This window comes from Homo sapiens, chromosome 12 (assembly GCF_000001405.40).
Source record: "Homo sapiens chromosome 12, GRCh38.p14 Primary Assembly".
NCBI classification, from domain to species: Eukaryota; Metazoa; Chordata; class Mammalia; order Primates; family Hominidae; genus Homo; species Homo sapiens.
In genome coordinates, this window is record NC_000012.12 from 80,820,211 (window position 1) to 80,836,953 (window position 16,743).

Sequence of the window (16,743 nt, forward strand, 5' to 3'; positions counted from 1 at the left end):
TGAGGGAACTTGAGAGGGGAAAATCATCAAATAACTAAACACCACAAAAGAGCAAGGAGGTTAATGGAAAAAAAAGTGTATATAATTATACATATTCTTATCCTGTGAGAGCAGTTAGAAATAGAAGAATTTTTGGACCATGAAAGTGGAGAATGCAGAGCATTATCAGTAAGCCTGGGGGCAGAAAACTGAAAACGAGCAAAAAAGCTTTAGAAAAAGATCAGTGCCTTCTAGCAATCAGATATTCACAAATCTAACATTTGGTTGACCTCAGCCCACCTTTCAGATCTGGAGACTAAAACTGGAAACAAATGCAGCTACTACATCCTGGTGGTAATGCTTTATAGTAACTGCTTGATCCTTGATGTCTGCACCAAAAGGGGGGAAAAGTCCTGATGGTTGTTGGAATGAAGATTAAATACACACACACACACACACACACACACACCCATCTTCAGGAGTACAAACATGAGCTTTAGAGGTCTGAAAACAGAACAAAGCTGCCTGGGAAAATATTCCTCGAAAATGATACCTTTAAATCAGTCTACTAATTCTTGAGTGGTGGGTTTCACCCAGGAAGCAGGGATAATAGAGAACACTTACCAACTGTGATTCACACTGGTTTATCTCTGAGATGCAGGCTGTGCACCCCCATGCTCTCCCAACCCATGACACTCTGTGACACTACACCCCCAATGAGCAAAGGCTTAGAAATGTACATACTCCTAAGCAGAGTGTTGTGACCGCCAGTTCTCATTGTTTGCCTCCAGGTCTGCATTAGGATAGGGAAAGGGTTATGGAAGTGGTGATCACCACCATCCCCTACATATCCGCCAAGAACTACCTCCCCCATACTCACCCCATTACAGTTCCACTTACAAAATGCAAATACATCTTAGCCACTAAAATTCACTGTGACTTCTTAAACCACCAAAGCCTTAGCAGAGCCAGGGTGCCAGGGCAGAAAGGCCAGGGATTGGGGTCAGGAGGATCTGGATTTGAATCTTAGACAAGTTGCTTATATTAACAGTGTGACCTCTCCCCTCTCAGCTAGGGACTGTTCCAGTTTTAGCACTGAAAGTCCCAGGAAATGCATCAGGCCTGGGCAAACTAAGATAATAAGTCACCCAAGACACAAGATGTTGCACATGTGCACAGTGCATAGTAGTGCCTGGTAAATTTTCCTTTTTTTTTTAATTAAAAATACTTTATTGTTAACAATGCTAATGATCATCTGAGCCTTCAGTAAATCATAATCTTTTTGCGGATGGAGGGTTTTGTCTTTATATGGATGGCTGTTGACTGATCACAGTAGTGGTTGCTAAAGATTGGGGTGGCTGTGGTAATTTCTTAAAATAAGACAACAATGCAAATACATGTGATTGCAGCTGCAGCCAGTCTGGAGTGGACACTGCGAAGACACCAGCTACAGTGGGGGAGGTGCTGCAGGGCTGTGGGCTTTAGGGAGCCAGTGGGAGCCAGCAACAGGCGGAAACCCCACCCCTTCCAAATTGGAGGGGCGAGAGCCCCACCCTCTTGGGCTCAGCTGCAGTTGCCCAGCTGCAGGTGCAGACCCAGGCATCTCTGCATTCTCAGGGACCCATGAAACCCCTCTCCCCTTGCAGGCTCAGAAGTGCCTGCTCCTGTTGCCTGGCCTCTCCCAGCTGCCTGTGCCTGCTCAGATTTCACAGCAAAGTTGATACTAAGTGCAGGCACTGTTGCAACCAGGCCAGACGTGTGTGCACTCAGGGGAGCACTGACAAGCCAACCCCCTGACACCTCAGCCCTCTGTGGACTTTGGGCACTAACGAGCCCAAAGTATTAGTCCGTTTTCACACTGCTAATAAAGAGACACTTGAGACTGGGTAGTTTATAAAGGAAAGAGGTTTAATTGACTCACAGTTCCACATAGCTGGGGAGGCCTCACAATCATGGCAGAAAGCAAGAAGGCGCAAAGCTACATGGCAGCAGGCAAAGAGAATGAGAGCCAAGTGAAATGGGAAACTGCTTATAAAACCATCAGATCTTGTGAGACTTATTCACTACCACAAGAACAATATGGGGGCGCTGTGTGCAGTGGCTCGTGTCTGTAATCCTAGCACTTTGGGAGGCTGAGGTGGGTGGATCACCTGAGGTCAGGAGTTTGCGACCAGACTGGCCAACATGGTGAAACCCCATTTCTACTAAAAATACAAAAATTAGCTGGGTGTGATGGCAGGCGCCTGGAATTCCAGCTACTCAGGAGGCTGAGGCAGGAGAATTGCTTGAACCCAGGGGGTGGAGGTTGCAGTGAGCCAAGATCGCACCACTTCACTCCAGCCTGGGTGAAAGAGTGAAACTCTATCACACAAGCACACAAAATATAAATAAAAATAAAAGGGGTAACTGCCCCAGTGATTTAATTATCTCCCACTGGGACCCTTCCACAACACATGGGCATTATGGGAGCTACAATTCAAGATGAGATTTGGGTGGGGACACAGTCAAACCATATCAGGAAGGAAAGCCGAGGGGGCCTAAGGGTGGCTCGGCACAGGACTGTAGGTGTCTCTCAGCACAAAGAGCCAGGGTGCCATGGGCATCAAGGATGGCAGGTTAATGGTGGCAGGAGGCAGGCAGACTCCTGGGTGGAAAGGGGTGGATTGCTGGTGAAGCCCCACCTTCAAGCCAGGGACAGCCTGAAGCCCAGGGGCTGGGCTGCCTGTTCAACGGACCAGAGTGAGAACTTATGGTGCTTTCTCTTGGTCTGCCTATGGACCAATCAGCATGCACCTACTCCCCTCTGAAGCCCATACAAACCCCAGATTCAGCCAGACTCATGCAGATGATGGGTCGACCAGTCTGCAGAGAGGAGCTACCCACTGTGGGTCTCTTCTGAGCTGTTCTGTTGCTCAATAAAGCACCTCTTCGCTTTGCTCACTCTCCACTTGTCTACCTACCTCATTCTTCCTGGACATAGGACAAGAACTTGGGACCTGCCAAATGGCAGGGCTGAAAGACCTGTAACACAAACAGGGCTCAAACATGCCCCTTGCTCATAACGTTGTGGGTGATGAGAAGGAGAGAGGAGCTACGGCCTTTTGGGGAGCCCAGACCTAAGAGCTCCCCGAGCCAGGGTTGTGACACCCTCTTTGGGGCTTTGCAGTTCCTGGCTACTCCAAGCTTCCAGGCACCACTGCAGTCCCTGGTGCCAGGCATGGAAGCTGTTTGTGGTACACCTGGTCCAGCCACAGCCTTCTAGGGAGCCAGCCCCTGTGCCAGCACCTAGAGCTGCCCACCCTGCCACAGCCAGCATGCCTGGCTCTGTGCAGTGGCTGGACTCCATGCTCACTTGCTCACACACTCCTCACCACTCTGCATCTGACTTGCCCCTGGTAGGCACAGGATCCAGGCGAGTAGCAGAAGCTGAGCACAACTTGCCAGGCTGAATGTGTGGAACAAGCCCAGCAGGCCCAAGCAAAATTTGGGCAAAGGCGTCACTGGACACAGAGGCTTCCAGCCAGAAATGTGACACCCCAAGGATTCTGTGACACATGGAAATTAAATAATCTGCTTCTGAACGATTGTTGGGTCAACAATGAAATCAAGATGGAAATTTACAAATCTTTGAACTGAATAATAATAGTGACACAACCTATCAAAACCTCTGGGATACAGCAAAAGTGGAGCTAAGAAGAAACTTCATAGCATTAAATGCCTACATCAAAAAGTCTGAAAGAGCACAAATAGACAATCTAAGGTCAGACCTCACAAAACTAGAGAAACAAGAACAATCCAAACCCAAACCCAGCAGAAGAAAAGAAATAACTAAGATCAGGGCAGAACTAAATGAAATGAAACAAAAAATACAAAAGATAAATGAAACAAGAAGCTGATTATTTGAAAAGACAAATAAAATTGATAGTCAATTAATGAGATTAACCAAAAAGAGAGAAAATCCAAATAAGCTTAATTAGAAATGAAACAGGGGATATTACAACTGATACCACAGAAATACAAAAGATTATTCAAGGCTACTGTGAACACCTTTATACACATAGACTAGAAAACCTAGAGGAGATGGATAAATTCCTGGAAATGTACAACTTTCCTAGATTAAACCAGGAAAATATAGAATCTCTGAACAGACTAATAACAAGCAGTAAGACAGAAATGGTAATAAAAAACATTGCCAACAAAAAAAAAAGTCCAGGACCAGATGGATTCACAGCTGAATTCTATCAGACATTCAAAGAAGAATTGGTACCAATCTTATTAACACTATTCCACAAGATAAAGAGGAAATCCTCCCTAAATCATTCTATGAAGCCAGTATCACCTTAATACCAAAACCAGGAAAGGACATAACAAAAAATTAAAACTACAGACCAATATCCTTGATGAACATAGATGCAGAAATCCTTAACAAAATACTAGCTAACCAAATCCAACAACATATCAAAAAGATAATCCACCATGATCAGGTGGGTTTCTTATCAGGGATGCAGGGATGGTTTAACATACATAAGTCAATAAATGTGCTACACCACATAAACAGAATTAAAAACGAAAATCACATGATCATCTCAATAGATGCAGAAAAAGCTTTTGACAAAATCCAGCATCCTTTATGATTAAAACCCTCAGCAAAATCGGCATAGAAGGGACATACCTTAAGGTAATAAAAACCATTGACAACAAACCACCAGCCAACATTATACTGAATGGGGAAAAGTAGAAAGCATTTCCTCTGAGAACTGCAACAAGACAAGGATGCCCACTTTCAGCACTTCTATTCAACATAGTACTGGAAGTCCTCGCCAGAGCAATCAAACGAGAAAGAAAGGGCATCCAAATCAGTCAAGAGGAGCTCAAACTGCTGCGATTTGCTGATAATATGATTGTATACCTAGAAACCCTAAATGTTATTTCTTTATAAATTTTTTTTAAAAATCAATAGCCAGGAAGGGAAGGGGTTTTATCAGAGAATGCGTCATTGCCAGCATGAAGAAGGGGAAAGGAAGGAGAGATCTGAGTGATAAGAAAAGTTTGAAACAGTTAGGTTCGAGGGCAGTTAAGTCATTTTTGCCCACTCTGCAATTCTGCCAAGACCCTAAGGGCAGACCTAGTGCCATGGGGCATTATCTCCTTCTGCCACTGCAGAATCCCAGGGATGATACAGCCTGGTTTAAAATGTGAAACTAGCTTAGAAAGAGTACCCATAATCAGATGAAGACTTTAAAATGTTTATGAAGCAGTGTTGTGTACTGGGATACTGATTGAGATCCCTCAGAATAAGTAACAAGGCCCACACTTCAAATCGTTTTCCCTGACTTTTATGACAGGTGGGCTGTTACAGTGATGGAAACAGGGCTGAAGCTAGGGGGTTCTATAAAAGATTTGCAACCTAGAAAAAGGCTTAGCCTATAGGAAGTTTTTGAGAAATCTTATTTCCCTAAGCAAGGAATACATCATCCTATCTCCTCTTCCAAGATGACAGCAAGTATCATGGGCAATGACATCTCCTAGAATTCCGTCAATCAGAATAGATTTTTTTTTTTCTGTAAGTATCTTACTCTAGTGAGCTCACAGAGATCATAGTTTTTCAAGTGGTGTCATAGAGACAACAATAGATTGCTGAAATTATTCAACCAAACCCTTCAAAAGATATACTTTAAATATCTAGCCTGTTTTATAATCCTAGAAGCCCAGGCAATTTAATATAAAACATCAGGGGGAAATACAGCAAATCTGGGCAGAAGTTGTCTGAGCCTGGCACTGTCAAATGTGTTTCCTATAAAGTGTAAAATGGCATGGACATTTATGTTGATGTGTACCATGAATAATAAAACATTAATAATAGCTATAACATTTAATTTAATTGGAGAGATTCAACATTGCAGATGCTTTCTTGCAGGAGAAGTCAAAATTTAAAGGCTATTTCAGGTTTATTGTCCAATATCTCTGTAGCTGTGCATATAAATGTCTTTTCCAATTAAATGTACACCCACAGAATATTCTTTGCTTTTGTCACCATTGATTTATACTAAGATCTTTTGCTTATTTTAAATGCTCTAACTGGCTCTAACCTCCAAAGATTCTTTTCAACCCTCTTCTCTAGTTCCTGCTATCACTAGTCATGTAGCCACCCAAGTTGGACCCTCCTGGGGACATCTTCCCTCAATCTACATCCAATTAACCACCAATACTGGTTGATATTAATGCGTCAATTACCACAATTGCATCTCATCCTCTCCTCCCTCTTATTTCTTATGATTTCTTGCCTGGATTTCCTCTCTTGTCTAAATGCTTCTACCTATTCCAGCCAGAGTTACTTTACTCCTTTTTTTTTAGATGGAGTCTTTCTCTGTGGCTCAGCCTAGAGTGCGGTGGCATGGTCTTGGCTCACTGCAACTTTCCCCTCCTGAGTTCAAGCTATTCTCCTGCCTCCGCCTCCCGAGTAGCTGGGACTATAGGCATGTGCCACCATGCCTGGCTAATTTTTGTATTTTTAGTAGAGATGGGATTTCACCGTGTTGGCCAGGTTGGTCTCGAGCTCCTGACCTCAAGTGATCCTACTGTCTCAGTCTCCCAAAGTGCTGGGATTACAGGCGTGAGCCACCACCCCTGGCTGAGTTGCTTGGTTTTTGCATGCCCTTGCTTAAAATCTATTGATGAGTAGAAAGAACACAACTATGATAGGCACTGTCCTTGAGGGCAGGGACCTTGCTACATTGATGGTTTATCCCTGATACCTAGCACAGTGCACAGTACTCATCCAGTGTTTGTTTAGCTAATCTGAAGAGGGCTGACTTTAAAGCTTAGGTCAAAGATTACTGCTGTAAGAAGGTTATTTCATTTCCCTGAGCCTCTCAGTTCCCATATATGCAAAATGGCATTAATAACATCTCCTTCAGGGCTGGCACAGTGGCTCAGGTCTGTAATCCCAGCACTTTGAGAGGCCAAGGTGAGCAGATCACGAGGTCAGGAGATTGAGACCATCCTGGCTAACACGGTGAAACCCCATCTCTACTAAAAATACAAAAAATTAGCTGGGCGTGGTGGTGGGTGCCTGTAGTCCCAGCTACTCGGGAGGCTGAGGCAGGAGAATGGCGTGAACCCGGGAGGCGGAGCTTGCAGTGAGCTGAGATCCTGCCACTGCACTCCACCCTGGGTGACAGAGTGAGACTCTGTCACAAACAAACAAACAAACAAACAAAACATTTCCTTCACAGAAGTCATTTAGGTTTATATGGACTACCCGTGTAAAGTGCCAAGTACTAAACCTGGCTCACAGAATGTACCCAATAAATGCATTACCCCATACATATTTTTCAATTTTCTAGAAATGAAAATGAAAACATCCTGTATCATGCAAAGCACTTCCCATGTACAGGCAGGTCCAATTATATTTCCTAATATTAATCTTCAACATAGAAGCAACACTATGCTTTTGATTTCAGCATGTGTTTTCATGTTTCTATAATCTCTCAGTTTTATTCCCTCAGTGTAGAATGTCCTTCCTCCACTCTGTTTTAATAACCCCCCACCCATCATTCAAAGCCCATCCCAAACAGTACTTATTCTCTATTATGTCACTTTCTTGCTCAAAATAAATAGCAAACACTTTATGATGGTTTACAAGGACCTTCACTCTTCACTCCCAGCTGGCCTCTATAACCTTATGTCTAATACTCTCCCCATCATTCATATTCAAATCATTCTGGACGTTTTTTTTGTTCTTGCTTATACCTAGTTCATTCCTGCCAGAATTTTGTATGACTAGCTTCTTCACATAAAGTTCTCAGCTACGAGATGCTCAACTCTACTATCAGTTAGGGAGATGCAGATTAAATCTAAAATGAGATCAAAATCATTCACATGCTTAAAAAAAGAATGTATCCCCAAGGATTTGGTGAAATTTATATCTTCATAAAACATAGAAGTATAAATTGATATAGGCTTTTTGAGTCAATTTGGCAATATCTATTAAAATAAAGTATATCCATATCTTCCTATCCTGGCTTGCATATATTAGGATCTACCTGAGAAAAATAGTTACTCATATACATAAAGATTTTCATTCAAGCAGTACTCAAAATAGTGAAACAAAATTAAACAAAAAACCATTTGGTTAACAAACTAAATGTCCATCAACAGGGGAATAGTTAAATGCACCATATATAGAATATTATATAGAAGATTTAAAAAGGTCTATGTACAGATGAGGCAAAATCTCCAAGACATTATTAACCAAGAAAGCAAGTCATAGATAATACGTATATGTAAAAATAGCAGTGCATTTAAGAAAATTACATATAATAATAATAATAGTAGCTTATATTCATTGAGTATTTACTATCAGGTACTGTTTCAAGGGCTTTAAATGTAGCAAAATAGTGACTTCTCATAACAACACTGCAAGTTATGTAATGTTATCATCCCAATTTCATATATGAGGAAACTGAGACACAGAAAGGTTAAGTAAGTTTCCATGGCCACACCGTTAATGGGTAACAAATCATTGTCTGGAGGCTGACCTCTTAATCACAGCCCTGCATTGTCTCATATGTTTGTATTTAAAAATAAATAAATAAGTAAATAAATGTGGGGTGTGTGTGTGTGTGGTGTATGTGTGTGCTTGAATACAAAGAGAAACGTTCAGATGCATGCTCACTACAATGGTGTTTCTACACGTGGAGAGAGAGAGGGGCTGGAACGGATTGAGGAAAACAGTTAAAGGGACTCTTTAAAAAATCTGATTTTAGTCTTTCCACACTGAATTATTTAAAAATTTGCTAAGAATGCATTTACATATTTATTGTATATTTTTAAATACAATAGCCCAGTATCATCCCATAAGGATCATGAGAGGAAAGGTCATTCTAGAACAAACCAAAGAAGGTGGGACAAAGCATAATTTTGTTTAAATAGTACTTTCAGGCAGAGCTTTCAAGTAGTTTGGGCAAAATAAGTCCCCCAAAACAAAAGCAAAAATCCCTACAACTATAATTCTATAATTGCCTGGGTAACTCAGGTGAAATGAAGGGATTTTAGCAAAGTTACCTCAAAATTTACAGATGTAGAAGTATAGTCTGTGGGAGCTTCAAAACCTCAGTCACAATGTAATGCCAATGATATTCTGTTTGAACTATCATGACTGAATGGTTTTTCTCCCGACATCGTTAATTTGCTGAAACCCAAGTTTTCCTTTCCTATATTTCCTCTCAGTTGTTTATTTGTCGGGGCCAGCATATCACTTATACGGCATGGCAGATCATTCATGGTTCAATATATAGGCTATAAATCCATGTTTTCAAGGAATAATGTTCAATGGAAAAATCATAAGGAAGGATTATGAAATACTTCATGTTTAAAATTTTGCTTTTCATCTAATGGCTCCTGAGATTAAAAACAAACAAACAAACTTGCAGTGATCTCAATCTTGATAGATGTGAGATTCCACAGAGAGTAATCAGTTGACCTAGGAATTTTTCTGAAAATGAAATGAGTTGGCTTTGTCTTTCTTCTTTGGTACAATTACTGTTGATCTTATCCCCCTTCCCCAAATAATAATGTGTCATAACAAAGAAACATCAATATTCTCTACATAATAGATCATAATGAGATAGATACTAATGAGATCTGTGTTTCTCTCACTAAATATTAACTTACATCCACATCTGGTGGCCCTGCCTTTAATTCTGGCCACTTCTAAACCACTCTTCACATTGCAATCATAGTAATCATTCCAAAATGCACTCTCGTGCTTAAAATAATTACATGTGCCTGTATTGCAGATACAGGCTGAAGTCTTTCAGCCTAGTGTACCTCACCCTTTGTGATCTGGCCCCTGTGTATATTTTCACCCTCATTTGCTAATCCATGAAGGTCCAAACAGGAGAACATGCAATTTTTTCTTGTCTCTGGGCCCTTCCTTGTGATGTCTCTTTCACCTTCCTCACTGCCTCCGTTCACCTGCTTGCTTAAATCAATGGCTTGCTGCCTTGATTATAAACTAGCAATGATTATAAGCACTAACATTTATTTAGTACTTACTACATGTTCAGGAACTGTGTTATGCCATTTAAACACTAAAATAGAAAAACTAAGTAGCTTCTTATATTATCATCTTTTAGCAATGAGAAAACTAAGGTTCAGATAAGTTAGCAAATTATTCACCAAACTCCACCAATGACATTGAATTTGTGCCCTATAGGGATTTACTGAGAACTAAAGGGCCCAGTGCATTTAGAGTGCTCTGCAGACGCTTGGCTTAGAAGCCCTGGAAGGAAGTATTTTCCATTACTTTTGTTACCAATGTTGTTACTACATTTGGGGGTGCTTGCTTTATTTCTAAACTTAATGTCTGGGGATTTAAAAATTGCCATTTTAACACAATGGCACATATAATTGAGTAGAAGATATATTTTTTAAAAGTTGATTTTTTTTAATTAGAAAAAAACTAAAAATTGAAAATGAAAGTGAATTACTAACACTGAACTCATTTCCTTCTCCCCTCTACTCCAATCCACTCCAGTTTCACTGGTTTTTCGTTGCTTCTCTCGAATGCCAGTGCCCTTCAAACCTTAAAGACTTGGTGTTGACACTTTCCTCTGATGGTCACAGGAGAATGATCTGAATGTTCTTCCCTAGGTGTGGCTCACTCCCTTATCTCCTTTGACCTCCACCTTGAATATCACCCCTTAACTGAGGCTACTCTGACCGGCACCACACTCTCCCTGCCATAGCATCCCCTAGCCTCCTTACGCTGTACTGATTAATTTTCTTAGCACTTGCCATCTCTAACACTATATGGATTTCCTTATTTATTTTGTTTATTGCTTATCTGCCATACTAGAATGTGAACTCCACAAAGGTAAGGACTTTTTTGTCTCTTTTTTTTCATTAAAGAATCCTGACTGCTTCAAATTGTACAATGTAGATGCCTAATAAATGCTTATTGAGTGACTGAGTGAATGACTATTGAAACTGGCCAAGCAATGTTATATAGCCTTGTTTGGCTACACAGGTGCTTTAGATACAAGTTCATGTATATTTTGTCGATTTATTGCCCTATCTAACATCTCTCAAACTAAGGCTTTGGTGGAGTCACTGAGCAGTTAATATATTACTGAAAGCAGATGAATGTGCTTGGATCTAGGCAGAGTAACAAAACAAAGACAGCTAAAGTTAAAAGTCTGACCCAAGGTCTCACATTCCTATAAATAATTGATAATGCATCAGGGGAATTTTAATGAATATATTTGATTTGTTTTATTTACAAAATAGACATACTAAAAGTTGCACATAATTATTAATCCTTTTCTAGAAGAGTAAACAAATTTATTAGAGACCAAGCAGACTGAAAGTGATTGGGCTTCTTTGTGAAACACTGCCAATATATGCAAAATTATATCCAATACAACTGAAGGAAAATATATTTGAAGCAATTACAAATCCTGTCCCATAACATGATGTGTGGTGTGATAACCAACATCATACAACTTTGCATTATCCCTCCTGCCAATTTCATCTAATAAAACACGACTCATGTGAAATGGTGTGTGCCCTAGGTTCCTGTGGTAATTAGCTGTGTCTAAATTGCTATAACATGGGCAATGATATTTAAAGTTGCTCTTACATTGCCTAAGAGTGCATAGCAAAATAATAATTATCATGTAATTTAGATTTTCAAAATGTAAACAGATCATGGCCACAAAAATAAGGGGAATTTCAGGATGAGTGGCTGTGCACTGTCTAGCCTGGTGGCCAGTCTCATTTCAGATCCATTGTAAAACTGAGAGACAGACAGCATTCAGGTACCCTGCAGGTTTTGGTTACAGACTTTACTGAGTGGTCAAATAGATATTGTGCCTTCTAGATTTAGGCAAAAAAGAAGAGTGGTGAGGCTTTGGCATATTTCTGTTCATGACATATTGGCACAATATTTCTACAAATCACTCAAAGCTAAAGCTAAGGCAATTAGGAGTAGTGCATCCATTTCTACTTATGAAAAACTTAACTTGGTGTTTCTAGGATAATTAGATCAAAGTAAGCTCCCTTAGGGTATGATCTACGTTTTCTTTAAACTGTTCCTTTCCCAGTGCCAGACATGGTACCATGGTTAATAAATCTTATTAGCAGTCTGACTGAAGATTTTAAAGTGATATTCTTACAATAACGTTTGCCTGTAGAGACAGATTCAATACCAAATTTAATAATGGCAAGCTGTCAATTGCTTTGCCTTTGTCATCCATGGTAATTGGGATCAACTCTGGTGCTCCTCCACACAGAACATTCAATTGAGATCAAGCCTTGGATGAAATCTCTTTTCCAGAATGCTCCTCATTTATTGAATCAGAAGGAGCCTGGACTTACCATTTGAAGGTGGTAGGAAATGGCCACCTTCAAATGGGAAGTCTAGGCTCCTTATGATGGCTTATGGTAGCTTCCGTGACATGGCTCCAGGCCATCCCTTCAACTCTACTCTTTAGCTACAAACATGTTGATGCTATGATTTGGTAGAAGTCCATTCTATTCATATTTATGGCATAGTGTACAATGTGTGCATTTTTCAGATTTTAATATTGTAGCTACTATATGGTTTGGAACTGTTTTCATGAAAATGAACTAATTTAGTTTAAGATAGTGATTCTCAACCAAGGATGATTTTGCTTGTTAGGGGACAGTTCAAAAGGTCTGGGGACATTTTTTGTTGTGGTGACTGGATGGGGAGGGTGTTACTGGCCAGGATAAACATTCTACAATGCACAGAATGGCCTCCCCCAGAAAGAATTATCCCATTCAAAATATCAGCAATTTCAAGGGTGAGAAATCCTGGTTGACAAATGTAATTGAGTGAAAAGTTTACATAATATAATTTTTAAGTGTTCTACTTCGAAATGCTGTCAGTTTGATAGAGCTCAGTTAATTAAATTTACATCTTGGAAAAGGCAAAACTAAATTAAAACCTATGCCCTTGTTTATGTTCATATGGCTGAGCCATAGACAACACAACCTCCAAGTACTCAGCTGCTCACTCTCACCTGAACCATCTTTTCTGCTGTGTCAACAAGAGGCAAGATCCTTGTCAGAAACCCAAGAGTTCTTGGTAACTCCCTATTCTTCACCTTGCATATCCAGTCAATCACCAGTTCTTGTTTATAGTCCCGTTACATCCAAAGTCATTTTCAAATCTTTTCCTTTCTCTCCAAATTGCCCCTCTTCCAGTTAAGACCTCCACCATGTCCCTCCAGAACTTCTAAGAGTGTCCTGGTTGATCTTCCACCTCCGGCTTTTCCTCCATGCCTTCACACACCCTATGCCCACATGTTGGCAATTGCCAGAATAACCTATAAAAATTCATGTCATTTTGGCAATTTCCTACCACTTTCAAATGTTAAGTCCGGGCTCCTTGTGATGGCTTATGGTGTCTTCCATGATGTGGCTCAAGCCCATCCCTTCAACCCTACTCTTTAGCTACAAACATGTTGTTTCTTATATGTTTCTGTAGATGTTGTCCCTCTGTCTAGAATGCCCTCCATCAACCTATTCATTCTAACATTCCATAGATAACTACTATTAATCCTTTAAAATGCTTCTTATTATATATACCATTTCCTCTACAAAGGCAGAAGGTGTTGTTTGCTTGTTTTTAAATTCTGAATTTTCGCTACACTGTCCACAGTACCAAATGGCAATAACCGGCTAGAATTGTAATAGGGCATTTCTCCTCTAGATTGCCATCTTTCCCTCTTGATTATCTCTGCTCACTTATCTAATCTCCTTCTGGACCCTAAAATAGTCAAATTTAACCACTCCTACTTCCTGGATAGCCTTTTGCAAAACCAAATCTAGTACAATGTCATGTTCCCTTGACTTTCAGAGGTAGAAGCTCAGAGACTGCCCAGAATCCTCAACTCTTCTGATGTCACATTTTACTCGATTTTTAAGTATGTAAGGACTACCACATATATAGTGATTAGTTCAGAATGAAAAATCTATGTTGAAATGGTAGTGCTGGGTGATAAGATAGGTTCAGGCTGATGCTAGATCAAATCTTGTATACTACATATACAGATTTTGACTTCAGGATCTAAAGTCTTATGCTTTGGTTCTTATTCAAATTTATATTCTTAAAGCTTAAGATATGCTATATATTTACACAGTTGGTGATAATAGGCACCTCTGTAAATAGAAAACATGACTTCTCTTGAGAAGTGATTTGGTGTCACTGAAGGGCAAGGTCAATAATTTACAATTCAGAGTAAGGTTGGCTGTGATAAAATTAGCAACTAATGATTTTGTATCTATGAGAGAAGAGAAAGAAACCCAAGTAGGAAAGGCCTATGATCAAATGTGATTCATTTGCAAATTTATTGAAACAGCCCATACCTCCTGGCTGAACTTAGAAAGATGTAGTTCTAATACCACAATTGCTGATACTCATTTCCCATATCTGAGACTCAGCAACCAACATTTGAGTTAAAGTTTGGTTATCTCACATGAACCTGTGAGCAATCACATGTGGCTTGTGACATGTCATCTGATTGCCATATGTATCAGTGTCTTCTGTTTTTGAGAATATAATTAAAAACAGAACAAGATATAAATCCATTATGGAAAATTATATAAACCCTTAGACTTACACTTGGCTTGCATTTCACTAGGTATACTCATGTAGCTGTGGCATATTAACATTCCAACCTTGCTTTAGGCTAGTGCCAACAGTCTGTAGACCAGCATAAATAAGTTAGAAGAATGTTCCTCCCAAGTTAGGATTAAATCGAATCATTGGCTTTTCACTAATGTTTAAAGCAATCACTGGTAATTGGGCTTGGTGAGTTCCACAAAATATAAATGATGCTTTTTTGGACCAGCACAGGATTTCAAGACAAATATTCTATTCATTTGAGATAAACCACACATTTCTCAGCTAGAACAGAAGAAGGACCATTACTTGGTTTACATATTCTGTTTTTGTAAATTAAGGAAAAATGTTGCAATAGGAAACATGGAGAGATGCATCTGGAAGTTTGGTGAAAGGCTGTTTAATAATAATATACAGCAACAATGCTGTGTAATTGTGGAAGCATAAGTCTTATCTTTTAATGCTGTATTTATCATTTCTCTTTTTTATCCTAATTACTATTAGGAAAGGTAGACAGGACAGGTGTTGTTACATCAGTCCTGCAGATATAAAGACACCAAAAATTCCAATGACTTGCCCATAATCAACCCACCAATGACAAGGATCCAATTTCCTCTGAAATTAGAGTATTTAATGGGGGACTTTTATTGTCTCTTGAAGATAAACAAAAAGCAGAGGAGATGACTTAAACTGGGCGGAGAGTCTAACTCTATAGGGAGATAAAATTATAAGAAAGAAAAGACTATTATCTGATTTAAAAGAAAAAATTTATAGTTACTGGGTATTTAAAAGGTATCCAGCGTAATGCCAGACACTCTTACATACTTTCTCTTATTTAATCTTTGGATTAAACCTGTGAGAAAGATATTGCTATTTTTGCTTTACGTATGACAAAATAGAGTCTCAAAGAGTAAATAAACGTATTATGGTTAGAATAACCTTAACTCCTGAGAAACCATAAGAACTTGAATTTGAATGAGTCCCTTTTGAAATGTTGAAAATATCAATTCACAATAAAGTAAAAGTTTGTAATTTTCATTAAATATGATGACAGAAAAAAAGGGAAAATTGCTCTTAAGTTGTTATCATATGCAATATCCTAGTCAAGTGATTTAAGGATATAGAAAGAAAATTTCAATACAAAAAATAATAATAAGCTAACAGAAAAAAAAAGTAGAATACATTTCATTTCATAATGAACAGCCTCAGGATGTATTAGAGACTCTTGGCATATCATCAGATTTCAGAATTGATTTCAGATTCCTAATGCACTTAGAGTAAAATGAAAACTTTTGGGTATCAACCTTAAAACTCCATTGGTTGGCTCCCAATCAGTTCTTCAGCCTCATCTTATCCCACTATGTATACTTTAGTCACTTTGTTCTTTCAGCTGCTCCTACATGGCAAATCATGGACTTCCTTATCTCAAGACCTTCACACAAGCTCTTTCTTATGATAACAGACTCTTCTCCTTAATCTCAGTTTAAATGTCACCCTTCAAAGAGGCCATTTCTAACACTATTAAAACTAGCTCCTGGCATGGTGGCTCAACATCTGTAATCCCAGCACTTTGGAAGGCCAAGGCTGGTGGATTGCTCGAGCTCAGGAGTTTGAGACCAGTTTGGGCAACATAGTGAAAGCCTGTTTCTATCAAAAATACAAAAACTAGCCGGCATGGTGGCATGTGCCTGTGGTCCCAGCCACTCAGGAGGCTGAGGTGGGAGGATTGCTTAGTCTGGGAGGCAGAGTTTGCAGTGAGCCAAGATCACGCCACTGCACTCCAGCCTGGGCCACAGAATGAGACCCTGTCTCAAAAAATAAATAAATAAATATGTATATATATATATTTTAAAAGTAGCTTCTCTTGTTCCATTACATGGCTCCTTGTTTTCTTCTTTCCCCTCTGTAACACTTATCACAGTGTTTAATTATGAGGCCATGTTATATTCTGAAGTATTAATTCGTGTTCTTTGTGAATTTTCCCTCCCATTCTGCTTCCTTCAGCCCACACCTTAGGAGTAAAAAAGGACTGAAAAATATCTGAAGGTCTTTGCTGTGCAGCAGAATGTTTTGGCTGCATGTTTTCACGTACATTTTTTTTTTTTTTCTCA

The 16,743-nt window shown here is 39.6% G+C and overlaps 1 protein-coding gene and 1 non-coding gene across 6 annotated transcripts in view; both read right to left on the bottom strand.

The window, feature by feature from the left end:
- The window catches only part of LIN7A (lin-7 cell polarity scaffold A), a 145,415-nt gene that overhangs the window by 27,691 nt on the left and 100,981 nt on the right, over window positions 1-16,743 (bottom strand). The gene's annotated exons all lie outside the window — the stretch shown is intronic.
- On the bottom strand, window positions 12,323-12,419 carry MIR617 (microRNA 617). The gene has a single exon (NR_030348.1). It is a non-coding gene; the product is annotated as a microRNA 617 (primary transcript).